At 34.6% G+C, this 27880-nt stretch overlaps 1 long non-coding RNA gene across 1 annotated transcript in view; it reads right to left on the reverse strand.

Annotated features, from left to right (window-relative positions):
* The window catches only part of LINC02220 (long intergenic non-protein coding RNA 2220), a 155415-nt gene extending 129108 nt beyond the window's left edge, over positions 1-26307 (reverse strand). Inside the window, exons 1-2 of the long non-coding RNA NR_147005.1 lie at positions 26207-26307; positions 25432-25496 (exon numbers count right to left, since the gene is read on the reverse strand). This is a non-coding gene — a long non-coding RNA (long intergenic non-protein coding RNA 2220). The remainder of the gene's footprint in view (positions 1-25431; positions 25497-26206) is intronic.
* Positions 26308-27880: the final 1573 nt, after the last annotated feature.

Genomic DNA, 27880 nt, shown 5'->3' on the forward strand with positions numbered 1-27880 from the left:
AGAAATTTGAAGGTGAAAGCAACGTCGCTAATATTAAAAACAACTTTATCATTCTGAAAGGCAAGTTATTTCAAGCCTGAGTCTCTCTGGAAAACTTTGATAAAGTCATTTTGATTCTGGAACATGTTGTTTCTTGCTAAGTTTTGCCAGAGATCACCAGCTCTATAATATAGAAATTTCATTGAGTAATTAGGATTTTATAAGAAATTACCATCATAAATATCATATTTTATTGTTACTTTATGACATACTTACTATGTTCTATATTTGGTTTTAGATGTATTAATACTGAATATACCCTCAATATGGCATCACTACGAATTAGATTCAGTTAACCACAGCAAAAAGGAATAGTAACGTCAATTTAAATTTTCCTAGAATATTGTGGCAATTCTATGTTTACATTCAAAATCCAGTAACAAAAAATTGATTGCAAAACTCATCTACAATTTAGAATATGGGGAGATTAAACTAATTTTATCTCTAAATAAACTCAAAGTTGCATTTTAATATCAAAACTCATCAGTTCCCTTCCTGCTTTGGTATCATTAGCCTTTACAGCTTATCCCCAGAGAATGAAGAAATGGAAACCCTGAGCAGACCAAAAATGGGTTCCAAAACTGAATCAGCAAAACCAATCTACCCACCAAAAAAAAGCTCTGGACCAGATTTTTTTCAAAGCCAAATTCTGCCAGATTTATAGAGAAGAGCTGGTAACAATTCTACTGAAACTATTTCAAAAAATCAAGGAGAAGGAACTCCTCCCTAATTCATCCTAAAAAGTCAGGATCACCCTAATACTAAAACCTGGGAAAGACACAACCAAAAAAGAAAACTTCAGGCCAATATCTCTGATAAATATAGAGACAAAAATTCTCAACAAACTACTAGCAAATCGTATCCAGCAGTACATCAAAAAGTCAATACACCACAATCAAGTAGGCTTTACTCATGGGATGCAAAGATGGTTCAACATATGCAAATCAATAAGTGTAATTCAATACATAAACAGAATCAAAAGTAAAAACTATATGATCATCTCAATAGATGAAGAAAAAGCTTTTGATAAAATCCAGCATCCCTTTATCATACAAACTGTGAACAGACTAGGCATCGAAGAAATATACCTAAAAATAAAAATAGCCATCCATGACACATCCAGAGCCAACATCGTACTGAACTGACAAAAGCTCAAACCATTTTTTTTGAGAATGGCAACAAGACAAAAATGTCCACTCCCAACACTCCTATTCAACATATTATTGAAATTTCTAGCCAGAGCTAGAAGTCGTCCAAATAGAAAAAGAAGTCAAACTATCTCTCTTCACTGACAATATGAATCTATACCTAGAACATTGTAAACACTCTGCCAAAAGGCTCCTAGAATTGATAAACAACTTTGGTAAATTTCAGGATACAAAATCGTATACAAAAACCAGTAGCGTTTCTAGACTCGAATAGCATTCAAGTTGAAAGCCAAATCCAGGACACAATTCCATTTACAATAGCAACACACGCAAAATAAACTACCTAGGAATAATTGTAACTGAGGAGGTTAAAGAGCTCTACAAGAACTACAAAACACTTCAGAAAAAAAATTATAGATGATACAAATAAATAGACAAACATTCCATGCTGACGGACTGGAAGAATCAATATCATTAAAAAGATCATGCTACCCAAAGCAATCTACAGATTCAACACTATTCTTATCAAATGCCAATGTCATTTTTCACAGAATTAGAAAAAAGTATTTTATGATTCATGTGGAACCAAAAAATAGCTTGGATAACCAATGTAATCCTAAACAAAGAGAGCAAAGCCAGAGGCATAACATTACCTGACTTCAAACCATACTATGAGGCTACAGTAACCAAAATAGCATGGTACTGGTACAAAAACAGATACATAGACCAATATAACATAAATATAGCCACACACATACAGCTATTTGATTTTTGTCAAAGTCAACAAAAATAAGCAATAGGGAAAGCACTCCCTATTCAATAAACAGTGCCGGGATAGCTGGCTAGCCATATGCACAATCATCAAGCTAGACTCCTACCTTTTCCCATATACAAAAGTTAACTTAAAATGGATTAAAGATTTAAATGTAACACCTGAAGCTATACGATTCCTAAAAGAAAACTTAGACAACACCATTCTGGACATTGACCTTGGGAATACATTTACGACTAAGTCCTCAAAAGCAACTGCAATGGTAACAAAATTGACAAGTGGGACCTGGTGAAACTAAAGAGCTTCTGCACAACAAAAGAAACTAAAGAGAGAGTAAAAAGACAATCTGCAGGATAGGAGAAAGTATCTGCAAACTACGCATCTGACAAAGGTCTAATATGCAAAATCTATAAGGAACTTAATTCAACAAGTAAAAAGCACATAACTTCATTAAAAACTGGGAAAAACATATGAATAGAATCTTCTCAAAAGAAGACACACAAGTGGCAACGAACATAGGAAAAAAAAAGCTCAACATCACTAACCATCAGAGAAATGCAAATCAAAACCTCAAAAAGATACCATCTCACACCCATTAGAATGGCTAGTATTTAAAAGTCAAAAAACAGAGAAGATGAAGGCTTTAGAGAAAAGGGAATGCTTATACACTGTAGTTGGGAATATAAATTATTTCAGCCATGGTGGAAAGCAGTTGGGATAATTCTCAAAGAACTTAGAACTACCATTCAACCCAGCAATCCCATTACTGGGTATATATCCAGAAGAAAATAAATCATTCTACCAAAAAGACACGTGTACTCTTCACAGTAGCAAAGAAATGGAATCAACGTAGGTGCCCATCAATGGTAGATTAGATAAAGAAAGTGTGGTGCATATATACCATGGAATACTACATGGCCATAAAAAAAAAACTTGTCCTTTGCATCAATATAGATGAAGCTGGAGGCCATTATTCTAAGCGAATTAATACAGAAACAGAAAAACAAATATCACGAATTCTTACTTATAAGTGGGAGCTAAACATTTGGTACTCATGGACATAAAGATGATTGCACTAGATACTGGGGACTACCAGAAAGGGCAAAGGGGGAAACTACCTATTAGGTACTATACTCACTACCTGGGTGGTGGGATCAAGCATACCCCAAACATCACCATCACACAATATATTCATGTAAAAAACCAGCACATGTACCCACAGATCTAAAATAAAAGTTTATTATTTTTTTTTAATTTTTTAAAATTTTAATTTTTAAAAATTTAAAAAAGAATTGTTCTATCATACGTATTCTACAAATTCAATGGGAATCAGCTGGAGAAATTTCTTGAAAAATACAACTAATTAAATTGATCCAAGAAGATATAGAATGTCCATTTCTATATCTAAAAACATCAAAATAAATTCAACAAAACACTCCAACTAGGAAATCTCTAGGAAATCAACTAGGAAAGGTAAATCTGACATCCAAGGGAGAGGTGACAACATTACTGCATGTATATATGTATAAGTTTGTTTTTCTGGAGAAAAATCATTTACCAAATTGTTTTATGAAGGTAGTTCATGGCTAATCCAAAATCTAATAACACATTATACAATAAGAATAAGATAGGAAGAAAGGGAGGAAGAGAGAGAGGAAGGAAAGAAAAGGGAAGGGAGTAAGGCAAGAGGGCAATATAAAAGGAAAGAAAAGAGGACGGAAAGAAAGAAAAAGCAAAGAAAAAGATAAAAATATACACGAAATTCATAATACCCCTCATGCCTTTGAGGCAACGTTTATTTTCTTCATTCTTTTTTCTCTCTGTTATTCAGCTTTATAATCTCTTTCAATCTATTCTCAAATTTGCTTATCTTTCATCACCCATTCTAAGTCTACGTTCAAGCCCTTCTCATGAATGTGAAATTACTATAATACTTGTGGGTTTGTTTCATAATTTCTATCTCTGTATTGATATTAGCTCCTCAATGCAACATTGTCATCATCCCTTCCTTCTCTTCTCTGACCATACTTACCTTCAGTTCTGTGAACATATTTATAATGGCTATTTTGAAGTCTGTTTCTTTCAAATCTGGCATCTGGTTGCTCTCACAGGCAGTTGTGTAGCCTGCAATATTTTTTCCAGTGTAAACTCCATACTTTCCTGTTTATTTGCATGCCTCGAAATCCTTTGTTGGAAACCTGACATTTCAGTATACTTTCTAGCAACTCTGGGTACTGATATTCTTTGTTCCAGGACTTGGTTTTGTTGTTTATTTCCTAATGACTGGACTAGGCATATCATTTCTGTGAAGTACATCCCCCCACACCTATACAGTGTTAAACCAGTAATGTTAACACACAAGTAGGCATCTCTTTAGAGATACTCACAGGCGCTCTGGGAAGACATTAGTGCAGATCTCTTATCTCTATTCCTGACTAGACATGGCTGCTAAACTCCATTAATTGCTTCCTCCTTGTTCTAATAGTCTCACCAATGAACTGGGGCATAAATTGCTCCACAATCGAACCCAATTCAATTTTGGCTACTTTGAAGAAACAGTTTCTGATGTCTGTGTTTGATATTTGTTCTGACTCCATAACGGTCCCCTTCAGCTATCCTATTTGCTATTCCCTTACTTTTCTTACTGAATTTTCACAGATTTCCTTGTGTTTCTCCATTGCCATTTGCCTTTAGGGTCCAGAGCCTTATGATTCACTGGAAAGTGAGCCAGTGAAGTTCCTTATGCTGTCATGACAGTAGTTTATCCTCAAGAATGCCAGATAATTTAATGTTCAAAATCAATCAATACATTTACAATATTAAAAAATGCAGAAAAATATAATTCAACACCCACTCATGATTTTTAAATGCTGAATACACTAACAATAGTAAGAAACATACTCAACTGATAATGAACATTATAAAAATTCAATAGCTAATATAATGTACAATGATAAAAAAAACAAAGTTGTTTTCCTCTGATATCTAGAAAATTATGCTAGCTTTCACACTTCCCACTCAGAATTTTACTGGTTGTTCTAGCTATTATAATCAAGTAAGAAATTAAAATAAAATCTATAAAATCCATAAATTGTCAAATGAAACTTTGTTAATATATTTTTACATAGAAAATTCCAGAAATATGGAAATTAGTTCAAAAGGTAATATATAAATTTAGCAAGGATATAGAAATGATCAATAAAAACAATTGTTCTTATATACCAGCAGCAGACAATTTAAATATTAAAAATGACCACTTACAGGATTGCTGTAAAAAATACAGAAACATATCTAAGACCTCTGCGTTGAAATTTATAAATCAATACTAGGATAAATGGAACAAGATCTAAACAAAGAAATATACAATGTTTAGATATCAGAAAAATTGATTTTTTTAACTTTATGTTCAGGGATACATGGACAGATTTGTTACATAAGTAAACATCTGTCACCTGTCATGGGGGAATTGTTGTACAGATTATTTCATCATCTGGATATTAAGCAACTGGTTATTTTTCCTGATCCTATCCCTCTTCCCACCCTCCACCCTATGAAAGGCCCCAGTGTGTGTTGTTCCCTTCTATACATCCATGTGTTCTCATCATTTAGCTCCCACTTATAAGTGAGAACATGCGGTATTTGGTTTCCTGTTCCTGGGTTAGTTTGCTAAGGATGATGACCCCAAGCCTCGTCCATTTTCCTGTAAAGGACATGATGTCTATTTTTTTTTTTATGACTGCATAGTATCCCATGGTGTATCTGTACAGTTTCTTTATCCAGTACACCATTGTTCGACATTTAGGTTGATTCCATGTCTTTGCTATTGTGGATAGTGCTGCTATGAACATATATGCGCATGTATCTTTATGATAGAACAGTTTATATTCCATTGGGTATATACCCAGTAATAGGATTACTAGATCAAATGTGAGTTCTGTTTTTAGGTCTCTGAGGAATCACCACACTGCTTTACACAATGGTTGAACTAATTTACCCTTCTACCAACAGTGAATAGTGTTCCCATTTCTCTGCAACCTCACCAGCATCTATCATTTTTTAAAATAGCCACCTGACTGGTGTTAGATCTCATTATGGTTTTGATTTGCGTTTCTCTAATGATCAGTGATGTTGAGCATCTTATCATATGCTTGTTGGCCAAATAAATGTCTTCTTTTGAGAAGTGTCTGTTTATGTCCTTTGCCCACTTTTTAATGAGGTTGGGTTTTTTTCTTGTAAATTTTCCTAAATTCCTTATAGATGCTGGATATTAGACCTTTGTCAGATGCATAGTTTGCAAAAGTTTTCTCCCACTCTGTAGGCTGTCTCTTCACTCTGCCGATAGTTTCATTTGCTGTGCAGAAATTATGTTGTTTGATTAGATCCAATTTGTCAAGTTTTGCTTTCGTTGCAATTGTTTTTGGCGTCTTCCTCATGAAATCTTTGCCCTTCTCTATGTCCGGAATGATATTGCCTAAGTTCTTTACCGGAGTTTTCATAGCTTTGGGTTTTATGTTTAAGTCTTTAATCCATCTTGGGTTGATTTTTGTATATAGCATAAGGAAGGGGTCGAGTTTCAATCTTCTGCATATGGCTAGCCAGTTACCCCAGCACCATTTATTGAATAGGGAGTCCTTTCCCCATTGCCTGTTTTTATCAGCTTTGTCGAAGATCAGATGGTTGTAGCTGTGTGGCCTTATTTCTGGGCTTTCTATTCTGTTCCATTGATCTATGTGCCTGTTTTTGTACTAGTCCCATGCTGTTTTAGTTGACTATAGCCCTGTAGTATAGTTTGAAGTTGGGTACGGTGATGCCTCCAGTTTTGTTCTTTTTGCTTAAGATTGCCTTTGCTATTAGGGCTGTTTTTTGTTTCAATATAAATTTTAAAATAGTTTTTTTCTATTTATGTGAAAAATGTCATTGGTAATCTGATAGTAATAACATTGAATCTATAAATTGCTTTGAGCAATAAGGCCATTTTAACAATATTGATTATTTTTCTTTATCGAATATTTTTCCATTCGTTTGTGTCATCTCAGATTTCTTTCAGCAGTGTTTTATAGTTCTCATTGTACAGATCTTTTGCCTCCCTGGTTAGCTTTATTCTTAGGTATTTTATTTTTTTGGAAGAATCAATATTTTTAAATGCCAATTCTCCATAAGTTGATCTATAGATTCAAAAATCAATCTAAATCAAATTTCAGCAGGATTTTTGGTAGAAATGGCAAGAGTTCCTAAACTTCAAAAGACTGAAATTCAGGGTCTCAAGACTAAACAACTAAGACCAAACATGTAAACACAGACCAATAAAATATAATACAGAATTCACATTCATGGGCTATTTGAGTTTCAACAAAAGCATGAATATGTTTCAGGACATGAATGTAATTTTTTAATTGTATAGCATCAACTGTATATTCTTATGGAAAGTAATCATCAAACATTAACTTTCAACACACACACACACACGCACACTCATACTCACACCTGAAATAAATAATACACCTAAATGTAAAACCTAAGAATATAAAACTATGAAATACAGAGATGAAAATTGTTACCACATTCATATATGGAAACAATTATTAACTAGAACAAAGATGTGAAAACTATAAAATTTTTAAAAATAGATAAATTGGACTGCATGAAAATTAAAATTCAAGAAATGAAAAGGAAAACCACAGAAAGGAAACAAATTTATAGAAATATAAATAACTCTTACAACTCAGTAATGAGGATTTAAATAGCTCGATATAAATGGGCAAAAAGATCTAAATTGACATGACACATAAGACATTTGCATTGCCAATAAATCCATTACAGTGTTCTGCATATTAAGGTAAATAAACATTAAAATTACAGTGTGAGGCCCCTTCATATCCATTAGAACCATTAGAATGGTTAAAGTTTAAAATGCTGGCAATACGTAGTGGTGACAAGTATGTGGGCAACTGGAAGCCTCCTATACTGCTGGTGAAAATGTAAAATCATACAACTATTTTGAAAATCAGTTTCTTACAAACCTTACATGCACATTTACCATAAGACCCAACAATTCAACTCCTAGGTGTGTTATTTTAGTTAAATGAAAACATCCACATAAAGATCTTTATGAAAATGTTTATAGTCATTTTTGTAATAACAAATAGAGCCTTGCTAAATGATAAAAAGCAATGAATAATGGATAAACAATTTGTGCTATATCCATACAACACAATCCTGTTAAGCAGAAAAAAAAAAAAAAAGAACTATTACCACACGCAGCAGTACTTATCAGTCTCAAAATTATGTTGGGTGCAAGAAGCCAGATTAAACTGAGTATATCCTGTATTAATTTGTTTAGATAAAATTCTATAAAACAAAATTGTATACATATTAAAAGAAAGCAGTTCAGTGGTTTCCTGGAAATATAGGTAAAGGGAAAGATTACACAAGTACGCTTTTGGGCTAAGGCCTTATTTTGACCATAATGATGATTTTGCAGTTATAATCATATATCAAATCTCAACAAATAGGAAACATTAAGTATATGCAATTATATATCAATTATAACTCTATAAATTGGTGAAAACTATTTCCAACCATATTTTCATTTGTTTATTTATGTTTAATCTTGAAATAGCCTTGAGCAACCAATTGGAATGAAATTAGTGATAAGGCTTCAAACTGAATATGACGCAATGCTCTTTTTTTGTTTTGTTTTTGTTTTTGCTGTTGTTGTTTGATACAGAGTCCTGCTCTGTCCCCCAGGCTGGAGTGCAGTGGCATGATCTCAGCTCACTTCAACCTCCATCTCCCAGGTTCAAGCGATTCTCCTGCCTCAGCCTCCTAAGTAGCTAGCTGGGAGTGCAGGCATGCGCCACCATGCCCAGCTAATTTTTGTATTTTTAGTAGAGACAAGCTTCCACCATATTGGCCAGGCTCATCTTGAGCTCCTGACCTTGTGATCTGCCCACCTCGGCCTCCCAAAGTGCTGGGATTACAGGCATGAGCCATTGCGCCCGGCCAATGCTCTCCTTCTTTGCCTATTAAAATAATAGTGTAAGATGAATAGAACATAAAAACCTAATAAATGCAAGTATCCAAGAAGTTAAGATGCCATATTCTGGATCAACTTTCAGTGGGGAGCCATCAGTAAAGAGAGTGTATGTCAGTTCTAGGTGAGACTGGAGGATTTTTGTAGAGGGGAGTCTAAGCAATTGAACATTTCATTTTCTTACTTTTTCCTTCTGTTCTCTCCTCAGTTCTATTTCTTTCTCTCTTCTCTTCCATTTCCTTCTATTTCTTTTTTTTAATTTTTAATTTTTGTGGGTATATAGTAGGGGTATATATTTATGAGGTACATGAGAAGTTTTGCTACAGTCATACAATGTGAAATAAGCACATCACGGAGAACGGGGCATCCACTCCCTCAAGCATTTATCTTTGAGTTACAGAAAAATCCAATTACACTCGGTATTTAAAAATATACAAATAAGTTATTATGGACCATGGTCACCTCATTGTGCTATCAGGTAGTGGGTCTTATTTATTCTTTCTATTTTTCTTTTGTTACCTTCCCTCTGATCTACATTCTTTTCTTTTTGTTATTTTTGTCTTCTACTTTGTTTCTTTGTATTCACAGATGATAATATTTTTAATGTTTTCAGTATTTTCCATTTATTTTATCATCCCTTTCATCACTCATCTTCCAAAATCTAGCTTCACTTTTTATACATTTTTTCACCATTTTAATTATATGCTTTTAAAACATTATATGTGTCTTAATTCATTTAGACAGGTATAATAAAATATCACAAACCAGGTAACTTATAAATATCTTATTTTCCTTATTTCATTTTACCTTATAAACTTTTTATTTTTAACAATTCTAAGCTGGGAAGTCCAGTACCAAGGCACTGGCAGAGTTGGTGTCTGTGGCGGGCTGCTTTCTGGTGCACAGATAGCTCCCTCTCACTGTATCCTCACATGGTGGAAGGGAAGAATGAGCTCCCTTAAACTTCTTCTATAAGAGCACTAATCCCACTCATGAGCCTCGTGACCTAATCACTTGCCAAACACCCACCTATTAATACCATCACCCTGGGGGTTAAGATTTCATCATATGAATTTAGGGGAAACACAAACATTCAGACCCTAGCAATATGTCAATAAAACTATAAGAATACCATCATTTCCTATATATCTATAGTTACAATACTCAGATTACTTGTAAATGTCTTCATATTAACATCATGTCACAGGTGAGAACAATGATGGCTGAAAGAGCTCATTTTCATAATATTTCATAAGTAGAAATTAATTGAGCTATGATTTAAACCCACATGTTTTCAACCCACGAGCAATCTCATCTACTACACCTCCTTGTTGGTACATCCTGCCACATTTCTCTACACTGATAACCACTTTACAAAACTATACCTAAATAGATCGAAACCTTGGAAAGAGATTCTTATTTGCTTAGCTAAAGTGATCCTTCTTTTGGTTGTGCTGGAGTGAGGAAGCCCTCTACATACAGATTTTTTTTCATAAATTATGGACATCACAGTCCGAACTACAAGATGTCAGAAATACTCTACTAAGGAGACAAGACATAAAGTTTTGCCTTGCAGTGCTAAACATTTAAGAAAATATAGTATATGTAGAACTCCAGTGTTCTCAGATTAATACTTTAAGATCCTTTTTTCCCAAGACCTGGGAACAGAAGCACAGCAATACAGCCCATTAAGAATTTATAAATAATCTGGCAAACGTGACTTTCATAGACAACATAAAGCAATTTGGGTGTAATATTTTTATTCTAATTTAGGAAATAAGAAGGTAAATGTGTATTTGTAAAGTTTTTACATAGCACTGCCTTTATAATAAAGCACAAACACTGATATAAAAATGCCTAACAAATATTTGGGGAGTTAAATCAAGGTATGACCTCAAAGATTCACAGGAATAAATTTAAACCCTGTTTTCAAATACATATATATTTCATGAATGTTTATACTCTTAATAATTTGACTCTCAAATAAAAGCAATACATAACAGTTATTAAGTTATCGGTTCTAAAACTATTACCATTATAAAATTCAATATTTACATTCATATATTCTATAGATAGATAGTCATGCTTGGTAGTCTAATTTTAACTTAATAATATAAATGTCGGCCGGGCGTGGTGGCTCACGCCTGTAATCCCAGCACTTTGGAAGTCCAAGGCGGGCGGATCACGAGGTCGGGAGATCGAGACCATCCTGGCTAACACGGTGAAACCCCGTCTCTACTAAAAATACAAAAAAATTAGCAGGACATGGTGGCGGGTGCTTGTAGTCCCAGCAACTCGGGAGGCTGAGGCAGGAGAATGGCTGTGAACCCCGGAGGCAGAGCTTGCAGTGAGCCGAGATCGCGCCACTGCACTCCAGCCTGCACGGCAGAACCAGACTCCGCCTCAAAAAAAAAAAAAAAATAATAATATAAATGTCACCAAACAACTTTTATTCTAAAGTTAATGAAGACACAAATAAGTGAAGCCTGTATTAGCTTTAGTTCTAGGCTTGAGCCGGAATAAACAACACATAAAAAGCCTCTGTCATAGGCATGAGGTCCTAAAAAATGCATGCTGATTATAATAATAGTTGCAGTCTTTAGCAATTATCACCCTGACATTTGAGATCTGACACATGATTATAAAGTACCAACAATCATTTTTTGCAACCTTATGAAACTAGTGCAAGGGAAATACTTTCACATTTTCTTCCAAATATTTATATGCTGCTGCTTTGACCAGAGTCAATCATTAGTTTTTATTCAACATTTTTGTGGATTCACTTTATTTACAATTACTTGCCAGGAATGATGGCAGAATATTATCAGCTTAATTGTTGTGCATATATTTCTCTGTGCTGATTAAATTATCTTTTTATAAAGCATTATTTTAACCCGAATATTATTTATTCTTCTCTGTGTCATTCATTTTTTTCAAGACTTTTTTTTTTATTTCTGTGGTTAACAAAATTAGTAGCATCTATGTCTTTCAGTAAAGGAATAAGGGCAGTGAAATAATTTAATTTAGGTCACATTTGGTGATATTCTGCATTATGATAAAATGATCCTCATTCTGTTGAAGTATTTGTCAACTGTTATATTTAATATATTTAATCATGACACACAAGGCATGCTGCAGAACATAATGAGCTCAAAATTGTTGCCATGCTGGAGGAAAGTGTATAATATTGAGGTCCAGACAATCAATGGGCAGAATTTTGGCAAAATACAATTTCCTATTGGGAATTATTTTCAAAGCCTGGGAACGTGCACTTGGGAATGTATGAACACATTAGCATAGACCTCCCTCAATTGATCAAGAGCTAAATCCAGCCTCCATGTAGACAAGAGGCTAGGAAGACACAGACAAGATATTAGATAGCCATCCATTGTCAGAGCAATAGAAGGAGAACATGACAAATTGAGTAGAGATTTCAATAAAGCCCGTTGTCAGATTAACTAATACCACACGGGAAGGACCTACAGAAGGGCAGCTGCATCCCTCAAGAGGTAGGAGCTGATACTGACTGAAGTGGTAATTATCTAACAGCTCAAATGGCACATCAAACATGGGTGTTTGAAGAATAACCGAATATAGTTTCCTATGTAAAAAATGAGTTTCTACCTTACTATAGCGATTTTTTTACAGAAGGATTTCACCTAAATGAGCATAGTCTACAGGTCAAGCAGAGCAAAAGTAATATTTAATACAGAAGAGGATGTTTACTGTTGAGATGAAAACAACTGGGAACAAGATGAAAACTATGTTTCTGTTGAGATGAAAACAACTGGGAACAAGATGAAAACTGGGGACTGAGTCATCAGATACTTCTGGCATGAAGTGTTTCTCCCCAAACTTTCCTAACTTTTCATTTATTTCATTTTTTAAAAAAAGAAATTATACATTATTTAAAATTTTAAATTATCTTTGTAAAATATCAGTATTCAATTAAAACACTATTGTGAACTATTATTTTATTGATTTGAGGGTTTCCTCTGTTTATATGTCAGAGCATACCAACTGAAAGGTCAGGTGGTCTCAAAAAATGTCCCTAAAATGGGCTCATTGTATGCACAACAGTTCAGAACCTCAGGCAAGGTAAAAAGAGACCCGTTTCTTTAAGACAATTCATTCACTGTGACTAGTACCACCCCTGGTTTTGGAATAAGGTGAATCTGTTAAGCACACTGAAAAGCTAATATTGTTTCCAACGCTCAACATAAGCAAACTTAACTCTGGACATGCATTTCCCATCCTGAGAAGTTACACTAAGCTGGTGCATCCCCACAACAACAAGACCCATGTAGTAGAGGAAGCCTTAGAAAATCAGCATCAGCTCTGTGGACTGCCACTAACTGCTGCCAGCTTAAACTCCACCTGTTGCTCTTGTTATTATACCTGTTCTCAAATGCACATTCTAAGTTTGATTTTGATTCCTGTTTCTTATCTTTTTAGCACTGGCAATTGGCCCAGCTCTCTTTTGTGTATTAATAAATTTTTGTCTCCTTTTCAACTCTACAGCCTCTGCTAGTATAATGTCCTCCTCCTCTGGAAATAACTTGAGGGAAGCCATTTGCACCGTATGTGGAACTTAGCTATTTGATTGTGGGTTACTTCCCTTTTGAGCATTTCTATTTTAATTCTTCCATGCAATTCTAGAATAAGAGGGTATACTCACTCTCAAAGTAAATTAAGTAAAATTACTTAAGCAGGTGACTTTATTAGATATGAAGTCCTTATTGGTGTATAGAAAATGGTTGAATTTTGCTACTGGAAAAAGTCATAACGTGCTGTTGTTTGATATCATTTTTACTTTAAAGGATTGTGAGAGTGCTAACAAGTTCAAAGAGTACCCATTTTGGCTCAGAAGCCAGTCAAAATTAATTGAAACTACAAACCATCTTTAAAAATTACACCAAACGTCCAAGTGTGCCAACATTTATTCACTAAGTTGTATTGATTTAGGCATAAAATGTTTGCTTCTACTAATATCAGATTATTGAAGATTTGTAAGATTTTAATCAGGTTGATTGAAACAATTCAATAAGTCACTATTACTATGTACCAGTTAGCACATAGCAATTATCTTTGAGTTTGGAGATGAATAACAATGCACTCAATAAATAATACTTCTGATCTCATCTAAAGAAATCAGAAATTCCTAATATTTGTGTTGTACAGTTTGTGATATGTCATCATTTCAAATGTGATAAGATGGGAATCATCATGTCCAAACTAAATGTGGTCTTGTCATCTTCTATCTTACAAAACATTTTAAAATGGAGAAATGCCCTCTTTTTCTTAAAGTGCTAACTTTGTGTTGTTCATTACATCCTTTAATAATTTATCTCCAAAGAGAACAAACTGACAAAAAGCATTGAGCCAGAACCGGCAGCTTGTCAGTCCTCACTGCTTAGTGAAAAAAAGAGCAAACAGACAGAATTCATTAGAGACTGCACAGCTCTAGTTATCGATTATCATAAGGCTGTATTTTAAAATACTTCATAGAATCATCTAAATTCACTTATATAGTATAAGTGAAGAAGAGAAACACTCTTCTATATTTATTAATTTATTCTATCAACCTGTCATTTGATATCTGGGAGCAAGAAGGAAGAATAAATGTAAAATCCTGATTTCTTCCCTAAGCCTTTCAGTAGAAAAAAATAAATGTTGTAATCATTGAAGAAAAGTTGTTTTTCCTTAACTTTTAAAAAATTATTACCTACATACTATGTTTCCAAATGCTTCTGCCTCATGAATCTTAAATTCTCATTAGCAATTGCAGACAGATTCCAGATAGCTCTGATAACACTTGTATTAAGAGGATGGCAATTAATTACATTTAAATAACAATAACCTAAATTTTAAGTGCCAGTAACCAAATTCTAATACTGTATTTCAAATCAGAGGGTAAATAAATCTTTCTTTCTCTTCAGTCACAGCTCTTTTCACTCATTATTACTTTTGCAATGGAATTAAAAGGTATACTCTTCAGGCATAGCACTGAAACAGGTAGTTTGATGATTTAGGTAAAAATTACAGACATGTATAGAGTTGATAGATGAGATCATTATAGTCATTAAAAAATTGTACAGTTTTCAATGTAATTATCATATAAATTATTTTATAAAATAACTAGTATTTTTCTTTTTATAATGGAAATACATAATACAGTTTACATACACATTTTTAGAAATACACAGAGAAAACATTATACAACAGATGCAGCAGCAAACAAAGGTGCTTTCATTTATCTCAAAGTAGAGATAGACTGCTGTTTTTTTTTTTTTTTAACTAAGTTCAGGGCTACACATGCAGGTTTGTTACATAGGTAAATTTGTGTCATGAGGTTTTGTTGTATAGATTATTTCATCACCCAGGTATTAAGCCTAGTAGCCATTAGTTATTTTAATTTTCCATCAATCAATTCATATTGACCTAACCTATCTTAATAGATAATAAAAATTGATGGTGATCAATGTCTTACAGTTCATTTTCATGATGGAAGAAGATTATAAACCAAAGTGAACAAATGATAGATCAATTTCCCAAAAGAGAAGTTTTTACACAGAATAAGCAGATGTTCCCCAATGGTATATCAGGAAAGCTATTTAGTATTGTAACATAAATGTCCAGTAATGTCTATGAAGTCTATAAATGTCCAGTAAAGTGTGTATACAAACACACACACATACACACACATACATATATTTAATTATATATCATATATTTTATATTTTTGGTTAACATTGCACAGGTTACTTTAAATAGATTATATTTTCTCAAAAGTTTAATATTAATACTAATTTAAACTATTTATTCCAGGCTGGATATTGATTACTCCAAAATGATTTATTTAATGATATAAACAATAATGCTATTTTTATTATATACCTGCTTTTATATCTGCAAGCTGCATCTGAAATTATTATTTTTCATTCTTGCCTATCTTTGTAATTAGAAATCTCACATATATAATCCAACAAATCCTTAAATTTAGTCTACTTTGAAATTAAAGTGTTGTCTTACATCTACAGATTAATCTCATTTCAATTTCCCAGGGATTATAACTGGCATCTCTACTAGTCCATCATACAGGTTGCATTGTGAAATCACCTTCAATTCCCTCTTATTTTCATTTTCTAAAATCCTTCATCAACTTATCCAAAATAATTTTCCCTTAAAATGCTTTTCAGTTTTACCCTTTCCTTTTATCTTTACTATCAAAACATATTCCAAGGAAATATCAGTTTGGATGGGATCAAAGCAAATTTGAGTGGTGCAGAGACCACAGACTTTCAGGAAAGAGGGGTGTGAATGATTTTTGGAGTACTGTGAAAATACATAATTATAGAAAGTGATATTTAAGAAGAATGTGGTTGAAGAAAAGGAAAAGACAAAATAAATTAAGGGAAATGTACTTTTTCTCATTCTGTTAGAAACAACACAGATGGCTATAAACATTCATTTAGAAAATAAAACCCAGGGAAAAAATAACCTTAACATTTTGAACTGAAGTGCTATGCTTAATCAGTGACAGCGACAATACCATTCTTGGTGTTAATGCATTTTTCCACCATTTTTTAATCAAGAATGCATGATCTGTTGCTGGCATTAGCCAACTCCAGGCAGCAAAACAGATAAAATGTCAACAGTATCTACAATAACTCATATAATCACTACACTCCTTTACATGCCACAGAGTTGGTCTGATTCAGGAAAAAAATATGAGTGGAAAATTGAATGAAGTGACTGAAGACTGAGAAGCCATATTTTCCACAATAGGCTGCAGCTCAAGACATTCCAAGGTTTTAATATTAGTAAATGCACTTTGTAGTTTCAAAATGTTTCTAAAGCTCTTAGAAAGCAGTAAGGTTAAGAGCATTATTCGATTAATAAGTCTTTGTTGCAGACAACAAAATGTTTTTAAAGGCATCTTTCTTCAGTAAATGAGATACATAACTTCTACTCACTGATGAAACGGTAAGAGTTCATCCATCTTTGAAAACACATTCCACGTTAAAAAGTCCTTCTAGTAAAGGATCAAACCAATTGAGAGTTCCTTAGTGATGACTAAGGGAAATGTAATATTTCTTATTGGGTTTACACTTAATTTTGTTATCATAAAAATATCTTACCACACTTGTAATGTTTAATAAAAAATTAGAATTATACTTCTTACAATCAGAAAGATGACCTACTGAAAGTATTACAAATGTCAGGGTCAGAAAAATGTAAGAATAAAGCTGGTATCATGAAAGAACATTTCTGACTTCTGTAAAAATATCAGGATTTGGTCCCATCTCCTTCATTAATAACTTTTCATCTTGAGCAATTTATCTAATCAATCTATACAAATATATACAATTTTATATAAGTAATAACAAGAATAAAACCTTCATCATTACTTTACCTGAGAAAAAAGAGAGATTATGTGTGGGGGAAAAATCTAAGGAAACTGCAATAAGCTTAAGCAAAATTTAGTTATACAAACGTATCTCATTTTATTGTCATTTGCTTTATTGTGTTACAAATAATGCACTTTCTAAAATTGAAGGTTTATGGCAACACTGTGAACAGCAAGTCTATCAGCATCATTTTTCCAATAGTATGTGCTCGTTTTGAGTCCCTGAGTCACATTATTGCAATATTTCAAACTTTTTCATTACTTGTTACACTAATCTGTGATCGGTGATCTTTGTCATTACTATTATAATTGTTCTAGGCCACAAAACCATTATAATTACATGGGCCGCAAACTGCACTCATATAAGATGGTGAACTGAATCAGTAACTGTTGCATTCCTCTATCTCTCTCCCTCTCCTTGGGGACCCATATTCTCTAAAATGTAATAATATTAAAATCAGGCCAGTTAATAACTCTACATGGCCCCTAAGTGTTCAAGTGACAGAAAGACTCACAAGACTCTCACTTTAAATCTAAAGCTAGAAATGGTTAAGGTTAGTGGAAAAGGCACACCCCAAGGAGAGACAGGCTGGAAGCCAGGCTTCTTCCACCAAACATCCAAGTTGCAAATGCATAGAAAACATTCTTGAAGAAACTTAAAACTGCTACTCCAATGAATACATGAATAATAAGAAAATGAAACAGTTTTATTTCTGATACGGAGAAAGTTAGTGGTCATGATTAAAGATCAAACTAGACACAACATTCCCTTAAAACAAAGCCTAATCCAGAGTAAGGCCCTCACTCTCCTCAATTCTGTGAAGACTGATAGAGGTGACGAAGCAGCAGAAGAAAAGTTTGAAGGTAGCAGAGGTTGTATTGTGAGGTTAAGAAAAGAAGTCAGCTCCATAAAATAAAAGAGTAAGGTGAAGTAGCAAATGGTGATATAGAAGCTGCAGCATGTTATCCAGAAGATCCAGCTAAAACAACTGACAAAGGTGGCTAAACAACAGATTTTCAATGTGAATGAAAGCTTTACATTGAAAGAAGATGCCACTTGGGACAGTCATAGCTAAGAGGTAAGTCATCCCTGGCGCCAAAGCCTCAAAGGATAGGCTAAATCTTGTTATGAGCTATTTTAGCAAGTGACTTTAAGTTGAAACCAATGCTCATTTACCATTCTAAAAAATCCTAGGGCCCTTAAGAATTATGCTAATCCATCCTACCCGTGTTCTATAAATGAACCAGCAAAGCCTAAATGACGGCACATCTGGTTACAGCACGGTTAACTGAATATTTTAAGCCTACTATTGATACCTACTACTTAGAAAAAAAAATTCCTTTCAAAATATTACTGCTCATTGACAAGACATCTGAACATACAACAGCTCTAATGAAGAGGTACAAGGAGATTGATGTTGTTTTTATGCCTACTAATACAACCTCAATTCTGTAGCCCATGAGCAAGAAGTAATTTTGACTTTCAAGTCTTATCATGTAAGAAATACATTTCTTATGGCTATGACTACCATTTTTTTAAGGGTATAACTACCCATTCCTTTGGCAGATATAAACAAATAAGTTGCAAACTTTCTGTAAAGTATTCACCATCCTAGATGACATTAAGAACATTTGTGGCCAGGTGCAGTGGCTCACGCCTGTAATCCCAGCACTTTGGGAGGCCGAGGTGTGCGGATCACCTGAAGCAAGGAGTTCAAGACCAGCCTGGCCAACATGGTGAAACCCCACCTCTACTAAAAATACAAAATTAGCCGGGTGTGGTGGCACGTGCCTGTAGTCCCAGCTACTCAGGAGGCTGAGGCAGGAGAATCACTTGAACCGGGGAGGGGGAGGTTGCAGTGAGCCAAGATTGTGCCACTGCACTCCAGCCTTGGCAACAGATTGAGACTCCTTCTCAAAAAAAAAAAAAAAAAAGAATATTTGCAATTTATGGAAGCAGGTCAAAATAGCCACATTAGCAAGAGTCTGGAAGAAGTTGATTCCAACACTAATAGGTGAAATTAAGGGCTTTAAGACTTTCATGGAGAAAGTACCTACAGATATGATGGAAACAGCAAGATAATTAGAATTAGAAGTAGAGCCTGAAGGTGGACTTGAATTGTTCCAGTCTCATGATGAGGAGTTTCTTCTTGTGTATGAGCAAATAAAGTGCTTTACTGAGATGAAATCTACTCTGGGTAAAGATGCCAGGAACATTGTTGAAATTATAGCAAAGAATTTAGAACATTACACAAGCTTAGTTGATAAAGCGGTGGCAGAGTTTAAGAGAACTGACTCCAATTTTGAAAGAAGTTCTACTGTGGGTAAAAGGTCATCAAACAGCGCTGCATGCTACAGAGAAATATTTCATAAAAACAAAAGTCAATCAATGTGGCAAATCTTATTGTTGTCTAGGAAATTGCCACAGCTACCCTAACCTTCAGCCTCCACCACCTAATCAGTAAGCAGCCACCAACATTAAGGCAAGACTCTATCAGCAAAAAAACGATGACTCACTGAAGGTTTAGATGATTATTCGCATTTTGAATCAATAAAACATTTTAAATTAAGGTATGTACATTGTTTTTGAGACATAATGCTATTACACACTTAATAACCACAGTGGAGTGTAATCATAACTTTTATATGTATAGGGTTATATAAACCCAGTGCATATACAAGTTTATTTTATTGCAATATTATTTTTTCAATAATTATTGCAATATTCACTTTACAATAAATTTGCAACTTTATTACAATATTCACTTTATTACAGTGGTCTGGAACTGAACCCACAATATCTCTGAGGTATGCCTGTGTTAGGTCTGTTTCTAACACTAATTTACTATGTTAGTATGTGACAGTAGGTCTTTGAATATATTTTTTTTTGTGAAATGTAGCATGCAAGCAAAAATCCATGAGATAAATAGATGTATGTTTCAAAGGATGATAATAATTTGAAGACACGCAGTTTAATAATGTTACCAATATGATTGACATCTCCTTTTGACCGTCTGATAACTCTCCTCATATACTACAAAATCACAAAATTTAACCATTACTATGTATTTTTGATAATCATCTTGTCTTTATATTTTTATGACACATATATTTATTCCTAACTATATATGATTCAAATGGTCTTCTTGACAGGGTTCTGGGAGTCAAAAGGGCTAGCTTGGCTTCTTCAAAACATGGCAGTGAGCTTCCAAAAAGGAGAATTCCAAAGCAAAAATATTCAATGTGTAAGCATTTATCAAGTGTTGTTTGCATCATGCTTGCAAATGTCTTATTGGTCAAGCCTAGAGTCAATGTGGAAGGGCACAACCCAGGGACATGTATATCGGGAGATGTGATTCACTGGGGACCACCAAAGTCATAGTCTAGCACAGTGATCTAAAAAGCTATATGTGCAGTATCACAGAAATATTCATCTGGATAGTGGCTGCCCAAATGTGAAGACAGAATTAGATATAAGGTTTCTACTACCTAGAATGGATGCTAAGAAATGAGACACTTTATTTAGTCTTAGATGGAGAGGAAAAACAATCTGAGAGAAGGAACATAAAATCTGAGCAATACTAGCAAAACTGAAAACTTGATTTATAATCTTAGATTATTGAGCCAGATCTTCTTAAAGTCTTCCAGAAATCCCCTGTGGATCATCAGAGACAAATTTAGAAATAATCTCACTCAATAGTTGGGGGAAAAAATGAATGCAGGAATGATGATCCAGAAAGTTACATATTTCCTATCTTAGTCATGGCCCAAATTTAAAATATATCTTATATTATCCACCAAATAGAACTACCTTTAGCAGTATGATGGTTTTTCTTGATGTAACTATACTGGAGAAATATTTGAAATTCTAGATTTTGTTGTCATTTTTGCTGCCTTCACAAACAGCCTTAATGATAGACTCGTCCCCAATAACAGAGCAGTTTTTAAATAATAAACTTACATTGACAGAAACTTTAATGCACAGTTAGATTGGAGAGGGCTGAAGTGGTCTCTCTAGAGGCCAAGAGACTGGATGAGTCCCCATGGCAACATGATTTCAAGTCAGTGAAATAACCATGAAATCAAAGAGTAAGGGAGCAGCTGTGGGATCTAGCACATTTAGCACAACTAATCAAACCGAGGTCAGCAGCTGGTATAAGCTGTAAAGGGAAAAAATAAACTCCAGTGACAGGTTCTTAAAATATTGTCCACAGACACGTAAAAACAACGGTATTGTGTTGAGGTATTGCAGAAAGGGTGTTGCTCAGTTCAGCAATGTTTGCCACCATGGACAGCTAAACTGTCTTAATGAGCAGCTTCCAAAATGAAATATAATAGACAGAAGAGATGGACTGTTGGAAAAATAAGTATGGCAACTCCAAATGTCGTGCTGACAATAAATCCTAATATCTCCTGTTCATTCTATGGATGGATTTATTGAACTACATTTCATCCCATTTCATACCTAAGACTACACAAGTTATTTTAAATCACTTTCTGGGGAACACTGTGTTTTCTAAACTATGCCATAAAAATTTACTTATTATATCTGACTTTAGGCAACCCATTTTACCTACCTGGCTTACAGTTCTATAATTTTTAAAGTAGAAGATTTGTCCTCCCTCCCCCCCGCCAAATAATTTCTGGATCTAATATTTTATTGTGGTTCCTATTATCAACCAGTCCCTGGATAAGCTCTAGGTAAACAAAGTGGCAAAAAGCACTCTTCAAGAAATTAGTTATTTGGAAGTCTAACATAAATTCATGAAAATATAAATAATAAGCCAGCATGGGCTAAGCCTAATATTTTCAAAAAACATATATAGGTCGGGTGCAGTGGCTCATGCCTATAATCCCAGCAATTTGGGAGGCTGAGGCGGGTGGATCACCTGAGGTCAGGAGTTTGAGACCAGCCTGGGCAACTTGGTGAACCCTGTCTCTACTAAAAATACAAAAATTAGCTGGGCATGGTGGCCGGTGCCTGTAGTCCTAGCTACTCAGGAGGATGATGCAGCAGAATTGCTTGAACAACCTCCTGGGAGGCAGAGGTTGCAGTGAGCTGAATTGCACGATTGCACTCCAGCAGGGTGAGACTTCATCTCGGAAGGGAAGGGAAGGGGAGGGAAGGGGAGGGAAGGGGAAGGGGAAGGGGAAGGGGAAGGGGAAGGGGAAGGGGAAGGGAAAAGCGAAGGGGAAAGGGAAAGGGAAGGGGAAAGGGAAAGGGAAGGGGAAAGGGAAAGGGAAGGGGAAGGGGAAGAAGGGGAAGGGGAAGAAGGGGAAGGGGAAGAAGGGGAAGGGGGAAGAAGAAGGGGAAGGGGAAGAAGGGGAAGAAGAAGGGGAAGGGGAAGGGGAAGAAGGGGAAGAAGAAGGGGAAGGGGAAGGGGAAGAAGGGGAAGGGGAAGAAGGGGAAGGGGAAGGGGCACCTATAGCAAGTCCTCCAAGAATTGGGAGGAAGTAGAAATCACTTTGGGCCAATATTTTCGAAAATTTTCCTAACAGTGGGTAGAAACTGGATAAAATAGAGTGAGTTGAGCACACTGCAAGAATGGTAACTAAAGTGAGTTTAGGTGTGGAGACAGATGTTTAACTTTGGCCTTGAATAAGCCAACCACCACCATCTGCAATGGTGTCTCCATATATAATTTCCCAGATGTCTAAATATTTAGTCCAGATATGCACCTGCTCTGTTATTTATACCAGTTGGTCTTTTTCCTTTGCCCTATTTTCAGATGCCCACTATTCCTACTGGGGAGAAGCCCAGACTGACAATATATAAAGAGTAAGTATTGTATTGTATCTCACTTAAACAGTGCATTTTTTCTATTTGATCATTCTTCTACTTAATACACCATTTTTTTGCTCAAAAGCATGTTACTAAAAATAAAAACAGATCACCCCTCTGACGATGCAAATGGATCTGATGTAATTAATCTATATATCTAATCGCTATATGTCAACACTCACTGACTACCTACCAATCACTTTAAATTGAATAATTTGGACAATCGAAGAATGGTTGCTGCTCTTATGTAATCAATGTACAATATACAGATCAATTCAAGGTAAGACAGAACATATATTTTGCTTTCCAAGTCATAGTAGAAAAGACATGTAAGTGAGTTTTAACATGAGTATGTGTAAGAAGAACTTGAAGCAGATAATCTTAGAGCTCTGCTTGTCATCCTTTGGCCAACTGCAGTGATGGTGGCCCACCTGCAGCTCAATGGGGGACCATTCTATACGAGATCAGGCTCCCACTACAAGAATTCTATTTCAAACACAACATATGACTCTATATTTTGCTGCCTTTGGGACCTCACCAAGACTGCAAAATCTTTGTCACAATTCTCAACCCCACTCACATTAGACACTCAAAAATTAATATACACAAGTGTCTTACTATTCTGACATTGTGAAGAAAACTGCAGTTGATCCCATTTACATATCATTTTATTTGAAATATTTTATGGCAATTATTTCTTATCACATGAAACATATTTACTTTCTGAACTTTCTTTTTAAACCAATTTCAAAATGTATAAGTTTGGCTCAGTCACAAGTTGAACCCCAAATATGTTGCTATCTGTATCTTATTTTCTTAGTGGGAGGAATAAAGACAGTATTGAAGTGAAAGCGATTTTGTAGTCAAGGACATAGTCTCTGAAAGAGACCCTTCAGGAGATACGAGGTTGCTGGCAAAACTGGTGTTCAGCACTGGAGATACTCAGCATGGGCAACAAGTTATCAGGAAGCAGCCACTCTTAGGGATAAAGACAGGAAGTAAAAGTGATAACAAGAATAATAGAGAAGTAGTCAGAATAGTAGAATTAAAGATGACTGAAGCCATCTAACATACCTCATAATTTTGTCAAAGCAGTTTTGGAACAGGAAGAGGTACAGCAGTAAGAAAATGCATAAATGATTCATGGTGCGTATTCCGATTGTAAATAAGTGTTGCACTTAAAGCTAGATGCCTTCTCATTTTTAAAAGTATAAAATGCTATGTCTTAAATAATAAAGAAGAGAATTACCAAGCTGAGAAATAAAAAATGCCACATCTGGGGCAGGAGTTAATATAAGACCAGCACATGAAAAAGTTTGGATAAAATAGTTATTTGTGTATTATGAAACATCCAGACTTCAATGGAATCTTCTGCACTTGCAACCTCTTTGAAAGGTGGCTTATGCATGCCCATGGCTTATGCATGCTCAGGGGAGCTGGTAATACTCACTCCAAGCTGCAATTGCACTTCTGTAAAACATAGACCTGTTTTAAACTGTGATCTTTCTCCAAAATTTAATTTCTCCACATTATATACCCACTATTTAATCAATGTCTTCCATATTTAAGCATAAACATAATTTGAGAAACACACATGCAAAAAGCTTTAAAACAATTTTTCAAAGTTCCAAAGATTGCTTAAAAAAAGAACATTGTAATAGGAAAAGGGGCTCTTTAGAACAAAAACAATCTAGACTTTCTGACAAAAATTAAGTATGTTTTTGTCTAATTTCCTAGCCTACCTGAGTAAACCCAGAGAAGCTTTCACATAAATTCATGAAGCATCATGCACTAAGATATTCACCATGATATCATTGAGGGTAACGGGGAGCTGGTTACAGCCTAGATTTTCCTAAGAGGATATGTAAAAGAATTATAGTTAATGCATACTGTGAAATGCGTGATGCAGTTAGAAAAAAATAAATTTTAAGGTAATAGAGTAACATTGATAAATGTAGTAAACATTTTTTGTAAAGAGATACGTTTTTAAAAACAGCATTAAACAAGACAGAAAACATTGATTCAGTTTATAAAATCCAAAAAAAAAAAACTTGAACACGTGCATTTTCACATATAGACACACAAGGACATATATCAAACATGTTGAACAGATTGCATATTGGAAGAGGCAAAAGAGTAGGTATTGAGAGGAAGGAGAGAAACAGTACAGCTACATAAGGTCTTGCTTGGGAGACGGAATACTTTGGGAATAGAGAGGACTCTGAGTAATTAATGAGTTAAACTCACTCAGATTGTTTTTTTCAGGTATCAGGTGTGTCCACAAAAACTATGAATGCCAGAGGAAATACTTTCTGAAAGAGAGTCATGGAAGAGAGAAAGTGTTAAAGAGTTTATAGAATTCATGGGATGGTTTTAGGTCATTGTAACATAAAAATTCTGAGATTAAATGATAGCACTTTTTTTAGTTATGTGTAAATAAAAGATGCAGAAGCATATGAACAAGGTTCAGCTGTTAGTGATTACAAAAAAGGAAAATAAATGTGTAAGAAAATGTATCATTGTGAGCAGGGATTTTTCTATATTTTATTTTAAAATTTTGTGTGAATTGCATGTTTACAAATTTATGATTTTATGTTTCATGTCGCATTTGCCCTATTTTCAAAAATTCAATATTTGGCATCCTGCTTATGTAATTATATAACTCTTTATTACTTCCATGTTATGAAATATGATAACATGTTTATAACTTGTCAAACACAGCCAAAGCTCTTCCCCCTTCCTGAACTAGAGGGAAAGATTATGTCTATATTCTCAGAAAATGAACTGCCATGGGTATTCAAAGTGATCAACCCCACCACCTGCACCACAAAAGAATTTGAACAATTACTTTTATAACCTAGCAGTTGCTAATTTCAAATTAGGTTTCACAGAGGAGATTTTTTTAATGAACCATAATTTGATTGCCTGTGATACACACAAATGACTATTTAGTGTATAATGCTAGAATTGTAGGGCCCATACACACCATACCCATACACACACATACACCACACCCACTCACATGAAACTATGCTCTTAGCTTAGACTTTGGTTGCTCTCCTCTTTTCCATTGGGTGCATTCCTCTCTTCTAGTGAGGATAAGACTCCAAATCCATGCAGCTCTTAAAAGAAGGATCATGAATTTCTGATGTCCCAAAACTCCAAGAGAATAAGAATCATACAGGATTCTAGAACACTGCTAGGCAGGAAAAGTGAGAACAGTAATGGCAAAAGTCTGACACTGAAGGCTCCCATGAGAACTCCAGGCGTGGAGGAGTAGGATCTGTGGTGTAAAATCTACCCTCTTTGGTTACACCGTAAGTTGAGTCCATAAGAATTGTGGGGAAATGGGTGCACCCCTCTTGTATACCAGCTTAGAAGAGTTAGGTTGAAAATAAAAGCACTCTTCTCATATCTTATTTCAATTTTCTTAGTTTAGAGTATAAGAATGCAACAAAGCATCGAGTTATTCATAAAATACTGTATTTGGTGTATTAGTAGTTAATAGTTACTATTAATTTTTGTTTGTTTGTTTTTGAGATAGTTTTGCTCTTGTTTCCCAGGCTAGAGTGCAATGGAATGATCTTGGTTCACTGCAACCTCCACCTCCCAGGTTCAAGTGATTCTCTTGCCTCACCCTCCCCAGTAGCTGGGATTACAGGCTTGTGCAACCACACCTGGCTAATTTTGTATTTTGAGTAGAGACAGGGTTTCTCCATGTTGATCAGGCTGGTCTTGAACTCCTGACCTCAGGTGATCCACCCTCCTCGGCCTCCCAATGTGCTGGGATTACAGGCATGAGCCACCACGCCCGGCCTAATTTTATCATGAATACTATTAGTAATAATATACCGTATAATAAAGTTACAGTTTTATATTAATATTATATTTGTATAATGGTTTTTAGTTATTGATACTATATATTACATTATAACATAGTCATGATTTTTTTTTTCTTATCAGGATTAAGGGACTAGAAGAAAATCATCCAAGAAACATAATTCTTGTATTTCTTTCTTCCTAGAGATGTCAATTATCTATCTGGATAAAAATACAGCATGTCACATTTTGCAAAGCAGACATTGGACTTAAATGGAAAATGTGTGGCACCTGTATTCTTATTTCAATCTCTTTATCTCTTTATTTGCATCTGATGTGTCAAATTATCAAGGAACTCTTTAGACAAAGAATAGGACAAGCAAATTAAATAAGTTCTCATAAGCCTTCATCTTTTATAAATTGCCATAAAGCATAAAGATAAGATTCAAGAAAGGCTGCTATTTAAAAGTTCCTGTTTGTAGAATAGCTTCTCTGATCTTGCCATTGTTCCTTTACATTTTTGTCTCTTCAAATTCTGGCAGGTATGCAATATCTCATACAGCAGCTTTTGAGAACAGAACTTGAATAATAAAACTTAGCAATCTGATACTTATGAAAACAGAAGAAAGGTTTATTTTTCTAACTCCAGATATAGTCAAAATTTAGTCAGTCATTGTTAGTGGTATAAGACAAAAAGTAAACACTGCGAGTGTGACTCACGGGTTAGTCTATGTAATTCTACTTAATATGATTGTGAAAAAGTATTAAAATATAGCAATCAGCAATATAATTGATGTAGTAATATAAGTGCAAGAAAAAATAATAAAAAAGTCATCTGGCAGAAAATATATATTTTTCTTTCTGTCTAAATCAAAAT

This window comes from Homo sapiens, chromosome 5 (genome assembly GCF_000001405.40).
Source record: "Homo sapiens chromosome 5, GRCh38.p14 Primary Assembly".
Taxonomy (NCBI): Eukaryota; Metazoa; Chordata; class Mammalia; order Primates; family Hominidae; genus Homo; species Homo sapiens.